At 39.6% G+C, this 20,149-nt stretch overlaps 1 pseudogene across 1 annotated transcript; it reads left to right on the top strand.

Annotated features, from left to right (window-relative positions):
* The first annotated feature begins 51 nt into the window (after positions 1-51).
* On the top strand, positions 52-18,686 carry SEPTIN7P11 (septin 7 pseudogene 11; annotated as a pseudogene). Its single transcript, NR_003034.2, has 6 exons — positions 52-334; positions 3,180-3,286; positions 4,880-5,014; positions 10,736-10,853; positions 13,514-13,565; positions 18,367-18,686. The product of NR_003034.2 is annotated as a septin 7 pseudogene 11 (transcript).
* The last annotated feature ends 1,463 nt before the right edge of the window (positions 18,687-20,149 follow it).

The raw sequence follows: 20,149 nt of genomic DNA, 5'->3' as shown, positions 1-20,149 counted from the left end.
CGCGGAGCCAATCGGAACTCGCGGAGGGGCTGCTGGGGCTTCCAGGAGGGCGCATGTGCGGATGACTGGCCGCAGGCGGCCGGGCGGGCTGTAACCCGCCGCTGAACTAGCGCTTCTGTGTCCAGAGGCTTCGGCCTGGCCGCCGTCGCCTGTAAGCTACGAGGAGGAGATTTACGACTTGGCCGGGCGCAGCAAAGGCCAGACTCTGCGCGAACAGGCGCTGCGCACCAACCGGCAGGCACCTGGCGGGCACCATCGCACGGTGGCGCAGAAGCCCCTCAATGGCCAGCGCCAGCTGCAGCCGCGGCCGCGCAGTCGTCCCACCTGAGCTTGGGTACGTGCGCCCCACAACACCTCCCCCAGCCAGGGCCCGGGGACCCCCGGGAGCGTCCCCCCGCTACCTGGCGCCACTCATCCTGGGCGGGGTCGGTCCCCTCTCAGGCTGCCTCTCATTAGGGAGCTGCACCCCCGAGCTTGACCTCTGAAGGCCCTTTGCGATAGCATTAAGCCTTTGAAACTTTGTAGCGGGTTAGAAGGGGCTAGGAAACGAAGAAAACATCTTTTTAAAAATATAAGCAATCGGCCGGGAGCGGTGGCCCACGCCTGTAATCCCAGCGCTTTGGTAGGCCGAGGCGGGTGGATCACGAGGTCAGGAGTTCAAGACCAGCCTGGCCAGCATGGTGAAACCCCGTCTCTACTAAAAACACAAAAATTAGCCGGGCGTGGTGGCGGGCGCCTGTAATCCCAGCTACTCGGGAGGCTGAGGCAGAGAATTGTTTGAACCCGGGAGGCGGAGGTTGCAGTGGGCCGAGATCGCGCCACTGCACTCCAGCCTGTTGGACAGACTGAGATAACGTCTAAACAAACAAATATATGTATGTATTTATATATATGGAATCCAGCCCGGGAGGTTGAGATTACAGTGAGCAGAGATTATATAAGCGATCAAGCACGGGAGGTTGAGGTTACAGTGAGCCGAAATTGTGCCATTGCACTCCAGTCTGTGTGACAGAGGGAGACTCTGTCTCTAAAAAATTATATGTGAGAGCTTTTCTTCCAGCGCTCATGCTCAGATTGAAGAAAGTAATTGGGCCAGGACTGGTGACTCACGCCTGTAATCCCAGCACTTTGAGGGGCCGAGGCCGGCGGATCGCTTGAGCTCAGGAGTTCCAGACTAGCTTGGGCAACATGGTGAAACCCTGTCTCTACAAAAATACAAACAATTAGCTGGGCATGGTGGCAAGCGCTTGTAGTCCCTGCTGCTTGCGGGACTGAGGCGGGAGGATCTCTTGAGCCTCAATCCTCGCTGCAGCCTCCACCTCCTGGGCTCAGGCAATCCATTTCAGCCTCCCAAAGTGCTGGGATTACAGGAACGAGCCATCGTGCCTGGCCTTATGCTATATTTTAATGCTTTTTTTGAAAATGGAAACTTTTACAGGCAATTCACTTCTTCATACTAATGATAAGGAAATGATGCTGTTCTGTCCTGTTATGTGTTTTGTTTGTGTGTATGTGTGTGTGTGTTTTTCTTGAGACAGGGCCTTGCTCTATTGCCCTGGCTGGAGTGAGGTGGCGCAATCATGGCTCAAGGAATCCTTCCCCGTCAGCCTCCCCAGTAGCTAGGACTGACTACAGGTGCATGCTACCACCCTTGGCTAATTCTTTTTTTGAAATGGAGTATCACTCTGTCTCCTAGGCTGGAGTGCAGTGGTGCAATCTTGGCTCACTGCAGGCTGGTCTCAAACTCCTAACTTCAGATGGTCCACCCACCTCGGCATCCCAAAGTGCTGGGATTACAAGTGTGACCCACTGTGCCTGGTGATTTTGCTCATTTAGATACTAGAACTTCTTAATTTAATTTTGTTTTGTTTTGTTTTCCTGAGATGGAGTCTTGCTTTGTCACCAGGCTGGAGTGCAGTGGCGTGATCTTGGCTCACTGCAACCTCTGCCTCCTGAGTTCAAGCGATTCTCCTGCCTCAGCCTCCCGAGTAGCTGGGACTACAGGTGCGCACCACCACACCCAGGAGTTCAAGGCTGCAGTGAGCCATGATCGTGCCACTGCACTCCAGCCTGGGCAACAGAGAGAGACCCTGACTCCACAAGTAAATAAGTCAACATCATATGATCTGTACCAGGGTACAGGCAGGTGCTATTATCCCCACTTTTCATACTCGACTCTGAGTTGAGTCATACATCAACCTCTAGTAAAAAATGGCATGCTCTCAGTCAAAGGGGCAAGCCCAAACCACGTGGAAAGGATCTTATCTCTCTTGAGAGCTAATATAAAAAGAATTCCTCCTAGATAGAAGCATTGTGACATCAGTTACTTAGGCTAAACATGCCTATTATGCTAAGTGAATTATTAACAGTAAATACTTTGTGCCATGTTAATTATCATAATATGATTTATAATTTGTTTTAACCTTAGGTTATATGTACCTTGAAGCCATTTATATTTTGGTATACTTGTAATGGTTACTATACACTAGACTATGTGTATTGGACTAGACATGGAGAGTCAAAAAAGAGTATGTGATCAGAGTAGAAATCATGCTCTGGCTTCCTTCTTGTCTACCTCCTACCTCAAGTAGAAGCAGTAGAAAAAGTAATTACCTAAGATTTTTTGGATTCTGGTTTGTGGAGAAGCACCCTTATATTTAGGCTGATGGGTGGCTAAATTAGAAAGTATTTTTTGTGATTTAGAATTTTATACGGAGATGTTCATTGTGATTAATTATTCTTTGTATTAGCAGATTTTTGCTTTTTATAGCTGCATGATTTCTTGTTTATTATTCATTGATTATTATCTATTAATAAAGAAAAACTTTATTTCACTAAAACAGTGATATATAATCCAAGTTGGGTTTTTTAATAATGACTGACATTTTTCTTTGGGAATACATTACTGTTAACAATGTAGATTATTAGATACATTATTTTTAATGAATATAAGTGGTGTAATTAGAAGGCTGAAAAGAATCCTTGGAAACATTAGTTTAATTTGATAGCTAAGAAACTGAGGAGAAGATACTTATTCTTTGTAGCATATTTTCTAAAGTCATTTCATTGTCTCACCAAGAAGTACTTGCATAAAGCCAGTTCGATTCTAGCATCTGTTGAATATTTAAGGTTGAGTAAAGTGGGTGAGTTTAACAGATATTTTCCCTTATTTCTTTTAGGCGAATGTGGATTGGGAAAGTCGACATTAATCAACTCATTATTCCTCATAGATTTGTATTCTCCAGAGTATCCAGGTCCTTCTCACAGAATTAAAAAGACTGTACAGGTATGGATATTAGTATTGTTAATTGATGATAAGCTGGAATAATATTAATACACACAAAGCACATGTTGTAACTTTTATTATGCTTCCTTAGAGGTAAGATGCAAACTTGGGCTTAGCCAGTGTAAGATGATAAATATGACTTCATAAAATTTAAAAAAAAAAGAAGTACAGTTAATCAGAAGAATTATCTTTACTAGAACTTTCCAAATTTGTCCTAAGGACTCTCCTAGAGATGGCACTGTGACATAGTAACCAGTTCCCCTGGAGTTGTGCTGTCTAGTATGATAGTCATTTGCCATGTGTATAAATCAATTAAAATTAATTAAATTAAAAATGCAATTTCTTGTTTGCTCCAGATACATTTCAAGTGCTCAACAGCCACATGTGGCAAGTGGCTGCCATTTTGTGCAGCACATATATGAAGATTTTCATCATTGCAGGAAATTGCATTGGATGATGTAGAGAAAACATGATTTTTAGAAAAGCTATTGTTATTTAAATACAGTGTTCTATATTAGTCAGTGGGATAATACCATATCATAGTTGAATGGCAATTGCAATTCTGTAAGACTCCCAAGTTATATGTGATCTAATTTACTGCTTCTCAGTCTTTGCTATGCATTCCAATCCTAGGTATCCTGTGAAATTTAGTTCTTCTAGTAGGTCTGAGATGGGCTGTATTTCTACATTTCTAACAAGATTCCAGGTGATACTGATGCTGCTGGTTGGGGTAGATCACACTTTATAGAGCAAGGGACTAGACTCTAGATGTGCACTTCTTATTAAATGGTACAGCAGCCTGTAGTCACTTCTCATCTTAGCAAAGGTCACCGAACTTCAAGTAACATGACTTGGGTCTGTATACGAACTTTGCCACTTATTTGATAAAGTTGTTTAACTTCTTTAAACCCATTTACTTTTCTATAAAATGGAGATAATACCTATCATAAAATTGTTTTTAAGACGTACTCTAAAATAATGTAGCTAGATAGAAGAATTCTCATTATTGTAAGAAATTTAAAACTGTTTGCTTTAATTTTATCCATTTGTATAAATTCTATCTCAATCCTAATTTAAACCTGATATTTAGACCTTCAGTTTTTCCGTAAGTCCTAAGTGAAGAAAACAACTATGAAATTTTAGTCTGAAGTAATTATCTTAGTATTTTATAAATAATACTTTTATTTTTGTTTGAATTCACATTGTTTTTGAGGTATTTTTCTGTCAACTCTTAAAACTCCTAAGTTCATCATGAAGTTTTTATATTATTTAAAGTAATCTCTCATTTGAAATTTAAGACTGAATATAATTGTTTTCATATTATGAAGTGTGTTATTAGTGCAAATAATATGCTAATAATTTAGCTGTGTTTCGACAATAGTTTATTTTCTTTCATTTGAAACGTTTTGAAATAATGAATAAAGATTTATTCAACATAATTTATATTTTTGAATCTTTATATAGACTAACTGGACATGTCTTCCACTGGTAAATTCATTTTGCCTATTTGAAAATATTGATTATTGTCCGTTAACAGTCATCAGTTAATTCATATGTAGAATTGCAACTTAATTGTTTATTTGCATTCTATAGCTGGCAGCCTGTTATCGATTACATTGATAGTAAATTTGAGGACTACCTAAATGCAGAATCATGCGTGAACAGACATCAGATGCCTGATAACAGGGTGCAGTGTTGTTCATACTTCATTGCTCCTTCAGGACATGGGTCAGTACCTTGATACTTCTGATTCCTTTTTGTTGTTGTTGCTTACTGTTATCTGTATGTGCATATTTTAGTAATCTTGAAGTTTGTGAAGTACATACAACTATCCCATTATGAAGTACCAAATTTCATGTAGAAATGTCTTAGTTGAAAAGCCTTTTTAAGTCCTGTATAAGCTAAGTGATTTTACTCCTTAGTTCTTTATTCATAAGGATTTTCCCTGCTTCATGGAAATAAACAGTGTTGCCACCATGGTTTGAGGTCTCAATGTAGCAAATTTAGCTTTCATGTTGACCACTCTGCTACTAATTGAACTACCAAATGAAGACAAGCAGCCATACCAGTTAGATATATTCAAAATCAAAGATGCTATTTATTATAAGTCTCATAAGAGATGGTTATCAAAAGCACTTGCATGCCAATGTTTTCTTGTGCCATTTCTTTCTGCAATAAATCTATTTGGCTTCTGTTTCACCTTAGCTGTCATAGACATGTCGTTTAGGTATCATATTGTCATTACTAACTTTTTGTTTATTAAGGCATAAGACCTAAGAAACTAGACATTAATCTGATGTGATTGTTCTGTTATAGTTAGCCTGTACTCCCTTTTTTTGTTGTTTGTACTTCCCCTTTATTTTGAGTACATATATGTGTCATTGACAACTGCAGATTTTTGCAATTATTATTCCTCAGTCTTTTCCTTTGGGTAAGTAACTCAGCATACATAATTCAGCCACCTGATAATTGTAACTCCACCATCTCTCCACTGAAAGAACTGTAATATCATCAGGCTAAACAGCATTAAGTTATCTAATGCTCACATTACAGTAGTAGTGTAAACCAATTCCTTCAAGTATACCTTTCTCTTCAATTTTTGGCTTCTCACTCTCTCTTTTTTTTTTTTTTTAATGGATGGGTCAATGCCCATTATCACTCTAGATAGATAAGGCAGCCTTAATTATATACTTATATTTTTGCACTGTCAGATTGGAGTGGGGTAAAAATGTTTCTTCTTTTATGTCTAATACTCTTTTTTTATTTTTATTTTATTTTTTTGCTGTGCCCTAGACCATTACATAACTGAAGACTCCAACCTTCAGGCAGGATTGTGTAGTACATGTTTGTAACTACTTCACATTGCCTTTTGTTGAGGAAATTTCAGTTTTTATTATTGTTATACTTTAAGTTTTAGGGTACATGTGCACAACGTGCAGGTTGGTTACATATGTATACATGTGCCATGTTGGTTTGCTGCTCCCATTAACTCGTCATTTACATTAGGTATTTCTCCTAATGCTATCCCTCCCCCATCCCCCCCACCCCATGACAGGCCCCGATGTGTGATGTTCCCCACCCTCTGTCGAAGTGTTCTCATTGTTCAATTCCCACCTATGAGTGAGAACATGTGGTGTTTGGTTTTCTGTCCTTGTGATAGTTTGCTCAGAATGATGGTTTCTAGCTTCATCCATGTCCCTACAAGGGACATCAACTCATCCTTTTTATGGCTGCATAGTATTCCATGGTGTATATATGCTACATTTTCTTAATCCAGTCTATCATTTAACGGTGTTCTCAGTTTACATATTTAAATCACTAAACTGACTCTTTGACTTAAAAGGCTCAAAAAAAGTAATCTCAAAAATACAGCACACTGTATAACCTTTTATGAGTATTTATGTAGCTTCTTGAATTTATGTTTTTAAATCTTTCTCATTTAACTTGTCAGGGCCTTTTCCTGAAAGCCTTCTGAGTGAAATCTTAACCTGCAGTTAAGTCAATAAAATTTGTCAGCTTATAACCAATTTTATTATTTTAGATCTGGACTCTCTCCAAGTTTAGTAATTCTCATGAAATCACATTCCTCCCATCCCTTTGCGGAAAATTTTATTTCTTAAAATTGCATGGGAAATGAGAGCTTTTTTAAAAGAAAAGTTTTTATATTCAAATGATATCTAGTGGCTTTGCACCATTTCTTATTTGTCACAAGGGGTAAGATGTTTAAAATTGCTATATCTTATATATAAAATGTGCCTTTGAATAATTTCTCAGTTTAACTAGTTTTAGAAATGGAGCAAAGTTTTGCCCATTGGTACATGATATTGTGGATTAAGTGAAAGAATATGAGGCCGGGCACTGTGGCTCACGCCTGTAATCCCAGCACTTTGGGAGGCTGAGGCGGGCGGATCACCTGAGGTCGAGAGTTCGAGACCAGACTGACCAACATGGAGAAACCCCGTGTCTACTAAAAATACAAAATTAGCCGGCCGTGGTGGTTCATGTCTGTAATCTGAGCTACTAGGGAGGCTGAGTCAGGACAATCGCTTGAACCTTGGAGGCGGAGGTTACAGTGAGCCGAGATCACACCATTGCACTCTAGCCTGGGCAACAAGAGTGAAACTCCTCCTCCTCAAAAAAAAGAATATGACACAGAATTTTATGTATAGAGTTCCAGATACCCTGGTCCAACAGTGTACTTTCAGTGCCTCCTACCTCCCTCTACAAAGTATGAACTGCATGCATGGCTAATTTATGATTTCAGTTATTATTGCTTCATGTGCGTTGTTCCTTATTTTGTAACTATTATTAAAGTAAAAAACTGACTTGGAACATGAATTTTAAAATAGTGTTTTATCCTTCAAGTATTAATTACCACTTTTAGAAAAACTGGTGTCATCCAGTGAGTTTTATACAGGATTGTTTCCCTTAGAAATACATACATACACACAAAAAAATTTTTTCATTTACCCTGTAGTTTATTATGCTGTAGACTTTGAGGTTAAATAGTCTTTTCTCTCTAGTGTGGGTTTATCTTCTAGAAATGATAAAGGATTTTCTATTGCTTAAAAACAAGATTTACAAACTAAATTTGTTGGTGAAAAGACCAGCCAATATAAAACTAAAAGGACAGAAGAAAAAAATTCAACCAGAATGTAATATACATGTGAACTAAATGTTTTCTGTTGCTGACGTTTTGTAGGCTTCTGAAATTTAATGAGACTTTTACAAGGTTTATCATTTCTCCTAAAGTTTAATTTTTAAACTGACTTAAATGTTTTTTGACCCTTTGGTTATATTTAAGAAGTTGACTTCTCTAATTTCCTTGTCATGTTTATTTTTAAATATTTTTATCTTTAAAAGTTGGGATATTATAATAAGTATTCAGCAAGTATTGATTTGCGTTTAAATATAAAATCTTGTTATTTGGATTTTAATACTTTATATTAAATGCCTTTAAGATTTATTAAAATTTTAGATTAATTGAACTCTGCTTTTTTGTCACTGGATTAATAAGCAGGCTTGTATCTGACATAATAGCTTAATAAGGCAGTGACAATTTAAATTAGTCATGAGTATAAATTGAAAAACCATAACAATTTAGAAATCTGAGATTGAATAATTCATGGCATTTCTATTTAGTGTTTTATATAATGATTAATAAAAAGAAGCAAAACTTAATTTTTTTTTCAAAGATGGATAGGTTCAGGCCAGATGCAGTGGCTTACGCCTGTAATCCCAGCACTTTGGGGACCAAGGCAGGAGGATTGCTTGAGGCCTCAGACTAGGCAACATAGTGACATCCTGTCTCTACAAAAAATAAAAAAAATTAGTTGGGGCTGGGCGCAGTGACTCACACCTGTAATCGTAGCACTTTGGGAGCCTGAGGCAGGGGATCACCTGAGGTCAGGAGTTCAAGACCAGCCTGGCCAACATGGTGAAACCTCGTCTCTGCTGAAAATACAAAAATTAGCTGGGCTTGGTGGCGGATGCCTGTAATCCCAGCTACTTGGGAGGCTGAGGCAGGAGAATCGCTCAAACCCGGGAGGCAGAGGTTGCTGTGAGCCAAGATTGTGCCACTGCACTCCAGACTGGGCAATAAGAATGAAACTCAAAAAAAAAAAAAAAATTAGTTGGGCATGGAGGCACACTCCTGTAGTCCTAGCTACTTAGGAGTCAAAGTGGAAGAATTGGAGGCTATGGTGAGCTATGACTACACCGCTATCTTAATTCTCCATGTTTGCTTTCTCCCCCTCACTGTCTCTTTCTGCCTGTCAGCCTTACTACCACAGTGAAGTATATACAGTAATCTTTGTTAGTAAAAAGACTGGACTATCCTATTAGTCTTAGGACTCTGATCCCCCCAATTTTAGTATATATGTTTCTCTTTCTTCATTTTAAAATGTCAGTCAATTCAATTATTAGTATGTCAATAAAATTAATAACAGAATGAGACCTTTATTTCATTTTTCGCATGTTTTTGTAAAAATTAAGGAGTACCACTTTAGAATGGTAGTCCTTTTCAAAATATTTCTAGTGTCTTCATTTATTCTTGTGAAACATAAAATTTTAGTCCACAGTGTATTCTAAATTTGAGGACTTTGGTTCTCATTTAGAATTGCTAAAGGACACAAGGAAAATCACAGCAGCTTACTTTTTCCTCAACGGATATTTGGGCACCTTCACGAGTGTTAGATACCATGCTAGGTCCTGAGGATACAGATGAATGAGACAAGGCCCTCACTGCGAAGAGTATTTCAGTGAGAAGATGGGAGAAACAAATACAGATGCTCTTCGACTTGGGACAGGGTTACATTAACCCATCGTAAGTTGAAGATATGTTTGATACACCTTGCCTACTAAACATTATAGCGTAGCCTACAGTTGGACAAAATCATCTAACATAAAGCCTATTTTGCGATAACATTTTGAATATCTCATGTAATTTATTGAATAATATACTGAAAGTAAAAAACAATGGTTGTATGGTTTCTATTCAATGTGTATTGCTTGCACACTATCAAAAATTTGAAAAATTGTTAAGTGGAATCATAGTGAGGAAGCATCTGTATGCAGGCAGGCAATTACTGTACAGCACATTAAGTGTTGTGACCACATAGAAATATGCCTAGTATTAGGTTGGAAAAGGATTCCCAGTGGAAATTGGATCATAAACCAGTGTCATGAGGATGAGTAGGAATTAGCCAGGCCAAGGAGAAGCAGGATGATAATGGAGGGTGTTCCAGCCAAGGTAGTAGCCTGTGGCCAGATGTCAAAGTATGGTGCTTTCAAGGAATTGTAAGAAGTTCAAAAAGGTTGGCACATTGGAAGTAGGAGGCAAAGGAAATGCTAGGAATGCTAAGAGATGAGGTCAGCTGGAGAATCTATGTCTTCACAAGCTTTGTAGGCCATACTAGTTAAGGCATCTGGTCTTTAATAAGATTTTTGGTTAGGGCATAACTCAATAAGATTTGGATTTAGAAAGACCACTCTGACTTCAGTATGGATGGTTTGTATTACAGTTATTCATTCCAAAGGTCTTGGTGGCCTAGACTAAAGTAATGGAAATGGAGATATACATACATATATATATATTTACATCTATACACATACTATATATATGGGAAGAGGATTAGAGGAGGGGAGGAATCCTAGGTTTCACACTTGAGTAATTAGGTAGACTGTAGTGCCATTCACTGAGATAGGAAGCATAGAAGAGAGAAAATGAGGTTCAGATGAGCTTTTGATTTTAAGGAGCCCATGGAACACCCAGGTAGCATATCCACTGGGTAAACACAAATCTGGAACGTAACAGTGAGATATGGGCTGTGTATGAAGATTTGAGAGTCAGTTGACCAATTGAAGATAATTGAAATCTAACTGGGGATGTGAAGAATCTTGTTCTCCCAAACTGATCAATTCAGTCGTATTAAATACTGTGTATTTCAGACTTAAACCATTGGATATTGAGTTTATGAAGCGTTTGCATGAAAAAGTGAGTATCACCCCACTTATTGCCAAAGCAGACACACTCACACCAGAGGAATGCCAACAGTTTAAAAAACAGGTGAGCAGGATGTGTTAACTCAGGTTTCTTATACCATTCTCATAATTTGCAGTTTTTACTATTTTTAGTATAATGTGTTGCAATCCATTCCTCTTACTGCTTTACTGTGTTGTCATTTATGCTGTATTAAAAATAACTCTTGAATCTTCTGCCTTAGTTTTCCCCTCAAAGCTCTTACCCATTATCATAGTATCCTTATCCTTTGTCAGTTTTTAAATATGGCTGTTTTAAGTGTTTTTTTTTTTTTCTTTCTTTCTTCGAGACGGAGTCTCGCTCTGTTGCCCAGGTTGGAGTGCAGTGGTGTGATCTCGGCTCACCGCAAGCTCTGCCTCCCAGGTTCACGCCATTCTCCTGCCTCAGCCTCCCCAGCAGCTGGTACTACAGGCACATGCCGCACGCTTGGCTAATTTTTTGTATTTTTAGTAGAGACGGGGTTTCGCCGTGTTAGCCATGATGGTCTCAATCTCCTGACCTCATGATCTGCCCGCCTTGGCCTCCCAGAGTGCTGGGATTACAGGCGTGAGCCACCGCGCCCTGCCAAATTTCCTCTTTAAAGTTAAGAATATTCAAGAATATACTGGGCAAATTATTTACTAAAAATCACTACAGAAAGTTGTCCCATACTTGGGAGGAAAAAGGTAAAAAATATATTAGCATTGGCTGGGCGTGGTGGCTCATGCCTGTATCCTACTAAGTCAGGTAAGTATGTGTTAAGTCCTAAAGTTGTAGTATAGGTTGAACATTCTTTTTTTTTTTAGATGGAGTCTCCCTCTGTCACCCAGGCTGGAGTGCAGTGGCATGATCTCGGCTCACTGCAACCTCTGCCTCCCGAGTTCAAATGATACTTCTGCCTCAGCCTCCCGAGTAGCTGGGACTATAGGCGTGCACCACCACACCTGGCTAATTTTGGTATTTTTAGTAGAGACAGGGTTTCACCATATTGGCCAGGCTGGTCTCAAACTCCTGACCTTATGATCCTCCCGCCTCAGCCTCCCAAAGTGCTGGGATTACAGGCATGAGCCACCGCACCCCGCCTAGGTTGAACATTCTTAAAGAGAAAATTCAAAATGTGAATTGCTCCAAAATCTAAAACGTTTTGAGCACTGACATGCCGCTCAAAGGAAACGCTCACTGGAGCATTTTGAATTTTGGATTTTTGGATTAAGGATGCTCAACCAGTAAGTATAACACAGATATTCCAGAATTCCAAAAAAATTCAAAACACTTCTGGTCCCAAGCATTTCAAATAAGAGATACTCAACTTGCCCCACCCAGGCTGGCATCTCTGCCTCATCATTAAGTCTATTTCTGTTTTCTTATTTGAAAACATACCTAAAATTCAGGGGTTCTTTACCTGGGGCCCACAGTTTGCTCCCAGGAAATCTAATGAACCTCCTGGAATCAAACATTTTGGAGAGAAGGCCAGTCACTTTTATCAGAATGTCAGATGGGTCATGGACCCTCAAGAATTATTTTAAAAATGTATAAGTCCAGTTAAAACATTCACAGTCTCCTTTCCTCAATGCAAAAGTTGCCCTTTTTGACATTGCATATTTAGAGTAAAAAAATTTCATTAGTAGGAGATCCTCTTTACTAGTTTTGTAAGGAGTTTTTTGTTTCTTAACTTGCTATCTTAAATTATTAAGGGTTAAGTAAGGAGTTTTAAATACCAGTAAAATCTTAGTTATAACACCAAACCTCAGAAGTCCTTCCTCTTGGCAATAGGTTTATTGTATTTGTTTAATCTGATATTTAATCTTCTGTGTTACAGTAAGCTGAAACCAAAATTGAGACATGATTGTTTTATGTTTGTTGCTATGATTTTTGAACTTTGTTTTTTTTTTTTTTTTTTAAGAGACAAGGTCTTGCTGTGTTGCCCAACTGGCCTCAAACTCCTGAGCTCAAAGTGATCTTCCCACGTCATGCTCCTCCCATATCACGTCACTATAGGCACACACCACTGCCCCTGTTTTATTTTGAACAGTTCTTTAATTTTTAGGATATTGTTTCAAGTTACTGTCCTTATTGGCAATTTTCCCACCAGTGACCCCCGTACCTTGTTCCCAGTTCCCTCTGCCATGCCCAGGCAACTTTCAGTTGCTGAGCTGAGGCTTTAAAACTTACATACTGCTTAAAAATAGGCAACGGAGAAATTGATTTTCATCTCTCTTTTGTAGTTTACCCTTCTACTCTCAAGTAATATTCGTATTTGTGATACATTATTTAAAAATAAAAGTAAAGAACCTTAAAGTTCTTGGCTCCCTTTTTCATTTTGGTTACCTTAAGATTTTTTCTAAAGTGATTCTCCCTTCACTTACACCACTGAATTTTTTAAATGTATTATAGAATAAATATATTTTTTGCCAATAATGAGAAAATACATGGTTTCCCCTTACAAAATTTCAAAGTTGTTTCCGGAGAGCTCATTTGTTACGTTTATGTATCTATTTCTGAAGATTAAACTACAATAAGGCAATAATATAGTACACTTCTCTGTCATGCCCTTACGTTGAGTAGTATGTTAGTGTTAAATCTCAAAAAAATTGATCTAAGCTGTTTTGCATTTCCCCTCCTTGTTTTTACCCCCCAAGTTCCGGTGAAATATTTTTTGAAAAGACTGGGCTTAGTGGAAATATATGTGGTCTGTTTTTTTCTTACAGTTGAAAATGGTGAACATTGTTATTTTACAATTCTAAGAAATATGTTGATAAGGTAAGTGCAAGCAATCATGGAAATAGCATGAGATTTTCTTTCCCTAAATAAGAGTTGGACAGATTTACTTTTTGCCTTCTATAAATGTAGCTATTTAAATTTATATCTTCAGTCTAGCAATGAAGTAGGCGCTACATGTAGATGATTCTTTCTCCAAGGTTTTGAAGTCATGAGCAAAAGTTACAAAATAATTTGTGTCTAGGGATACATAGGAAAATTAGTCTCTGTACTTTGTCATTATACTTTGTATTGAGGTTTAATACTGAAATAACTATGGAAAGTGAAATAGAAGAGACTCTTTCTTAATGTAAAAACCGTGTGAAAAGTATATAATCCAAGGCTAGTTTTTGAGTCAAAAGCTAGAATTTGAATGTTAAAAGTTGCACAGCCTGGTAGCTGGTGAGTAGGGCACATTTTACATACTAGAACATAGTAAACAAAATCAATCTTCCTACCAGGTAAGAAAAAAATCCTTAAATTGTGTCTTGCACATCTGCTGAAAAAGAGACGGAAAGCCTATGGGAGCAGGACATTGAGACCATCCTGATTAGAGGACCAGGACTAGTAAAGAGGATCTCTTACTAATGAATTAGAAAAGCAGCAGCAGAGAGGAAATCATGAAGAAATAGTGTAATAGGACTAGAGATGTTAGTAGGTAAGGAACTAAAAGGGCATCAAAATGATCCTCAGTGTTTTCATGTTGAGGCACATTCCTTCCTCTCCCTACCTCACTCCTCATTTCCCACTTCTCTCTCTTGCTTCTCTACATCTTTACCACATACTCTCTTTATCCTCCAGCTTTAGATGTCTGTCTTAAGTTGATATCTATTCATTTTCATACCTCTACCCACTTTCCCAAAACATAAGAATCTCTTTAGCTGTGTAAAAAAAAGGTAGTAACATAAATCTGGATAATAATTAGAAATTGTGGAATAACAAGAAGGTCATTCTCACAAGTGAGAAGTGAGGGGGAAATTTTAAGAGAGTCAAACTTCTACCTTAAGAAATACAGTAGAAATGAGAGTGAATTTTGAAATTAAAGAAATTGGCATGTAATTGATCTTTATTTTCAAAGGAGCAGGTGTTTTTGGTAGGAACTACATGATAGGATTGATTCAGCAGTTGGGGTTACCAGGCCTCACTTAGTAGAGAAGAGCAAATGCATGAGAAGGTCATCCTCTGGGTTTTGAGAATCCAACACTTCAGGCTCTATTATGAACTATTCCCTTCCTCTTCCATTCTTAAGGTGTGACTTCAAAAGAATAACTATTAATAATATAATCTTCTATGACAGTATATAAGTAGAGAATGTTTAATAAATCCTAATTGCCATTGCATTCCTCTTGTTTTTAAATCTTCTATGGTACTTGCCCAGTGCTTGACATGGTGGTTTTCTATAACTTTTTCTTGTGTATTTTAAAAGTATACAATCAATAATTGCCTACATACCTAAAATGCCATAGAGGGGATATCTAGTTACTGAGCCAGAGGCTACTTTATTGAGAAGGAGTCTCGCTCTGTTTCCCAGGCTGGAGTGCAGTGGCATGATTTTGGCTCACTGCAACCTCCACCTCCCAAGTTCAAGCAATTCTCCTGCCTCAGCCTCCCGAGTAGCTGGGATTACAGGCGTGCACCACCACACCCGGCTAATTTTTGTATTTTTAGTAGAGATGAGGTTTCACCATGTTCGCCAGGCTGGTCTCAAACTCCTGACCTCAAGTGAGCCGCCTGCCTCGGCCTCCCACAGTCCTGGGATTACAGGCGTGAGCCACCATGCCCACCCGGCCCAGAGGCTACTTTGAATATTCAAAAGTTCACAGCCTGGCAGCTAGTAAGGGGCCTCCCTAGTGTAAGCATTCCAGAGCAAACCGACCATGCCTGCAGGAAGAATTAATATAGCAGACCAGCAAGACTTTTATGCCTAAAAATTCTAAAGTTATATATTGTTAAAAAGATGTATATTTAATTTAGCTCATGTCTTTATGACAAAGGCATCTAGTGGATATTTAATAAGTACTTGAAGGAAGGAAATACAATACCAGTATTGCAGATAGATGTCTGTAAATCCCAAGTAATTGAAATTTTGCAGGTCAAAGAAATAGTGTTTTCTTCTAAGAAAGAGGCAAGTTCAAAGAAGTCTTTGCTAATTAAGAGACTTAGGTAAACCAAGGAAGACAATGGAAAGGAGGAAAACTATACAAATATTTTCTGGGTGTGGAGATGGGTGTTTCAGAAATCAAATAGGGAAAGAAAAGAGGAGAAGAGAGAGTTATGGTATCAGTGATGGGAAATGGAAGAGACAAATTCCTGAAACTGTGGGGAAACTGTATTGCTAATTACCAAATTATTTTGAGAATGGAGGAGTGGGTTGAATCATAAAAGGATAAAGCATATTTAATTAAATGGAAATAAAGACTTTTATAACCTGGAAAAAATCAGAATTATGTAGTCATATAGAAGTGAAAGTGATTTTAGTGAAAGGGAAAATCATTCATTATCTAAAATGTTAGATGACACTAACAAAAATAGCTTAACAATTAGTAAATTCACCTTACTTTTATTTTACACATTCATGCAAACATTTCCTGTAAGTATTCTTCCTTAGAACCTTTAATGATTTTTCAGTGATGCGTGTAATATATAATAATTAAAATTAGGCCAGGCGCAGTGGCTCACACCCGTAATCCCAGCGCTTTGGGAGGCCAAGATGGGAGAATTGCTTAAGCTCAGGAGTTCAAGACTGGCCTGAGCAACATGGCGAAACCTCGTCTCTACTAAAAATACAAAAAATAGTTGGGCGTGGTGGTGCATGCCTGTAGTCTCAGCTACTCAGGAGGCTGAGGCGGGAGGATGGTTTGAGCATGAAAGGCAGAGGTTGTAGTGAGCTGAGATTGTACCACCGCACTCCATCCAGCCTGGGAGACAAAGTGAGACCCTGTATCAAAAAAAAAAAAACGAAAAAAATATCGGGGGAACCCACTCCCAATATTTCAACGTAGGTTTTTTTCTGTTTTCCATAAGTGTCAGCCAGCTGAGAAAGAAAGAGAAAGAGTACAAAGAGAGGAATTTTACAGCTGGGCCACCGGGGCTGACATCACATATCGGTAGGACTGTGATGCCTACCCAAGCCTCAAAACCAGCAAGTTTTTATTAAGGATTTCAAAAGGGGAGGGGGTGTACGAACAGGGCATAGGTAGGTACAAAGATCACATGCTTCAAAGGGCAAAAAGCAGAACAAAGTTCACATGCTTCTGAGGAAACAGGACGAAGGGCAAAAGGCAGGACTTCTGATAAGGGTCTATGTTCAGGTGCACGTATTTTCTTGATAAACATTTTAAACAACAGAAAACAGGATTTGAGAGCAGAGAACCGGTCTGACCACAAATTTACCAGGATGGAGTTTCCCAATCCTAGTAAGCCTGAGGGTACTGCAGGAGACCAGGGCATATCTCAGTCCTTATCTCAACCGAATAGGACAGACATTCCCAGAATGGCTGTTTATAGACTTCCCGCCCAGGAATGCATTCCTTTCCCAGAGTATTAATATCAATATTCCTTGCTAGGAAAAGAATTTAGCGATATCTTCCCTACTTGCACATCTGTTTATAGGCTCTCTGCAAGAAGAAAAATATGGCTCTTTTTGCCTGACCCCACAGGCAGTCAGACCTTATGGTTATCTTCCCTTCTTCCCTAAAAATTGCTGTTATTCTGTTCTTTTTCAAGGTGCAGTGATTTCATATTGTTCAAACACACATGTTTTACAGTCAGTCTTTACAGTTAACACAGTTATCACAGTGGTCCTGAGGTGATGTACATCCTCAGCTTACGAAGATAACAGGATTAAGAGATTACAGGTGTAATAAATTATGAAAGTATTATTGGACATAATAATGGACATATTAAATGTCCATATTAAAATGAAATCTTCACAATGTATGTTTCTCTGCCACGGCTCCAGGTGGTCCTTCCGTTCGGGGTCCCTGACTTCCCACAACAAACTCCCAAGAAATCCTATGCACTCAAGATACCTTTTAGGGTTTCCAATGGTGTATGGTTTCAAAACTGCTGTTCCCTCTGTACTTACTTCCTGTTGAATTAAAGTGTCTTTGAGAGGCAAGAGAGTATGATGTTTGTTCCTAGCCTACCAGCCTATCAGGCTGGCATGATAGATACACTCTATGAGGCTGACATGCCCTTACTTGATTCTTTTGTCCAGTGAAAATATCTATAACCAGCATCCAAGAGGGATACTGTTGGTGAAACCTGCTTAGCCGAGGACTGGCTGTGTGTGTGCCTCCAGACCAATCATATGTTTGTTTTGAGATACATTTTTTGGAGGAAGGTAATACACACATGCCATGTATTTTCTTTTTGTTTCATACTTTTTCTTCTTTAATTTCCTGGTATCCATTGGTTCTCTCCAGGCAATTGGTGGCATGTTAGCCACAGTGGACACTGCACAGGAGAGCAAGGGGTGGGGGATTAGGGTGCTGCAAGCAGAATAATAAATTTCAGGCCCAACCTTATGTCTGTTGAATCAGAACTGCTGAGTATGGAGCTCAGGCTCCCGTGTTTGAATAAGCCTTCAATTGACTCTGATGCTAAAGTTAGCGAAGCACTGCTCTAGAAGTTTCAGGAGGTCCCAGGGTCAGGCACCTGCTGAGGAGGAAGAATTGTTCCTGGGATTCCCTGCCTATTCTCAATAAAAAACTCAAACTTAGGAAAGCCAGTGAGGTTTGTATTCGCCTTACATCAGGGGTGGGTTGGATTTACCATTTCTTTGACTCCTTCAATCTTTTAGGTAACTTTTCCGGTCACACACAACAGACTGATTTTCCTGTGGAAGACCTCACAGGAGTTCTCTTGAACCAGGAGACTATTTTGAGCTGAAATACCTGGAGCCCTCTCAAGCTATTTGGGCCTTTCAATTTGAAACCCAGGTTTGGATGATTCTAAGCTCTATGGCAGAGACTGTAATCATTTTCTCTTCACCCTCAGGTTGGGGACTCACCCTCAGGGTTGGGAGTGACTGCTGTCTCTCCAGCCCCCACCAATTACACCATGTTCTGGTTGTTAAAATCCAGTGTATGCATGAAATGTAATAAAAGTATCTTCGCAGCACTAAGTAGAGAGTTCCTTGTTGTGAGCAGACCATTCCTCTTCCTCCTTGGAAAAAATTATCTATCCACTTTCTACATTTTCATGTTTGTCTCTTCCTCTACACACACCTCAGCTGCTGCTTTATTTCCACATGTCTCATGTAAGGATCTTTTTTTATGTGGTAACCTTGGCTTTTCCCACTGTTCATGCTTCCACGAGTTGGACGTAGGCAATATAGGAGCCCACTGCAAAAGTGTAGGTGATATTGTCCAGAAAGAAACCTGAATTTCAGAGGCTTGCTGATGTGGAAGAAAGCCAAGATATTAGACTCATAGAGCTTCACTCTGCTAGGTAGGTTGAAATGTGGACACCGTGAATTCCATAAAAAGGTAGTACTTCTGAAAACCATCTTAAGTTTAAAATATACTGGGACTGCCTTACCTTTCTTGTTTTTCATAACTTGTATTCCAAGCTTGAAAAGCTAAAACAAAAGCAAAGAACACTCTTCCTATCTGTAACAAAGGTGCTTAAGCAGGAGGGTGGTCTCTCTTCCCGGTTCAACACTCTCTCCCTCAGGAACAGTAGGGATTGGAAATAGGTGGTTTCTCTGTAGTTTCTCGGAAGCCACCAATACCACTCGCCTGTACCAAAACTCAAGGGTACCTGTGCTCCCCAGTGCCCCAGCCAGTAAAGGAGCTGTGACGCGTTCTCAACGCCACGACTGCCTTGAGCAAAAGGAGGGAGGTCTTGCGGGAAAGTGTTTTCAGCTCACTTCTCCTACAGGGAATGAGCCCTCTCGTTTATCGCAGACACCGAGGAAACGCAGCGATGGGCTTCGGGGCTGCAGTCAGCCTCCCTGCCCACCCAGATCCTCTGGCAGCCTCGGGCGCTCACCCACTTCGTTTCTCCTCCGCCTTTGCCGCCGCTACAGCAGGTGCACACCCCACCACGTCCCTGCTTCCCTCTCGAGCTCTTTTCGTAGGTGGTCCTCGTTCTTCTCTCCGTCTGTCGTTTCTTGAGTGTCAGAACTGGAACCACAGCATCCCCAAGATGAAATCCATGCTGGGTTTTGCGACCACAGTGCTGGCCCAGTCACCGGCGAGGGTAAGGATGGGCAGCGACCCACGCTCCTGGGTCTTCATTTCTAAGAGTTCGGAATTCCACTTTCTCACCTCCTCACCTGGACCTAAATCCCCTGAGGCGGTACTGACCCTTCTGTTTTAGTATCCATCTACGTTACTCTTGATGGAAGAGTACAGTCCTTGAAGGAAGAGGGAAAATAAATTTGAGAAGGGAGAATTAAAAAACCTTTTTAGTTTGAAATTATTTCAAGCCTACAGAAAAGTTGCAAAAATAATACAAAGAACTACCATACACACGTTACTCAGGTTTAGCAATTCCCAATATTTTGCCACAATGATTCTCCTCTCTCTTTACGCCTAAACACACATACAATGATTTTTCTCATGGACTTCATTATTTAT

This window comes from Homo sapiens, chromosome 11 (assembly GCF_000001405.40).
Source record: "Homo sapiens chromosome 11, GRCh38.p14 Primary Assembly".
Lineage (NCBI taxonomy): Eukaryota > Metazoa > Chordata > Mammalia > Primates > Hominidae > Homo > Homo sapiens.
Note: the sequence above shows the minus strand (reverse complement) of the source record. Positions and strands in the feature narration are given on the sequence as shown.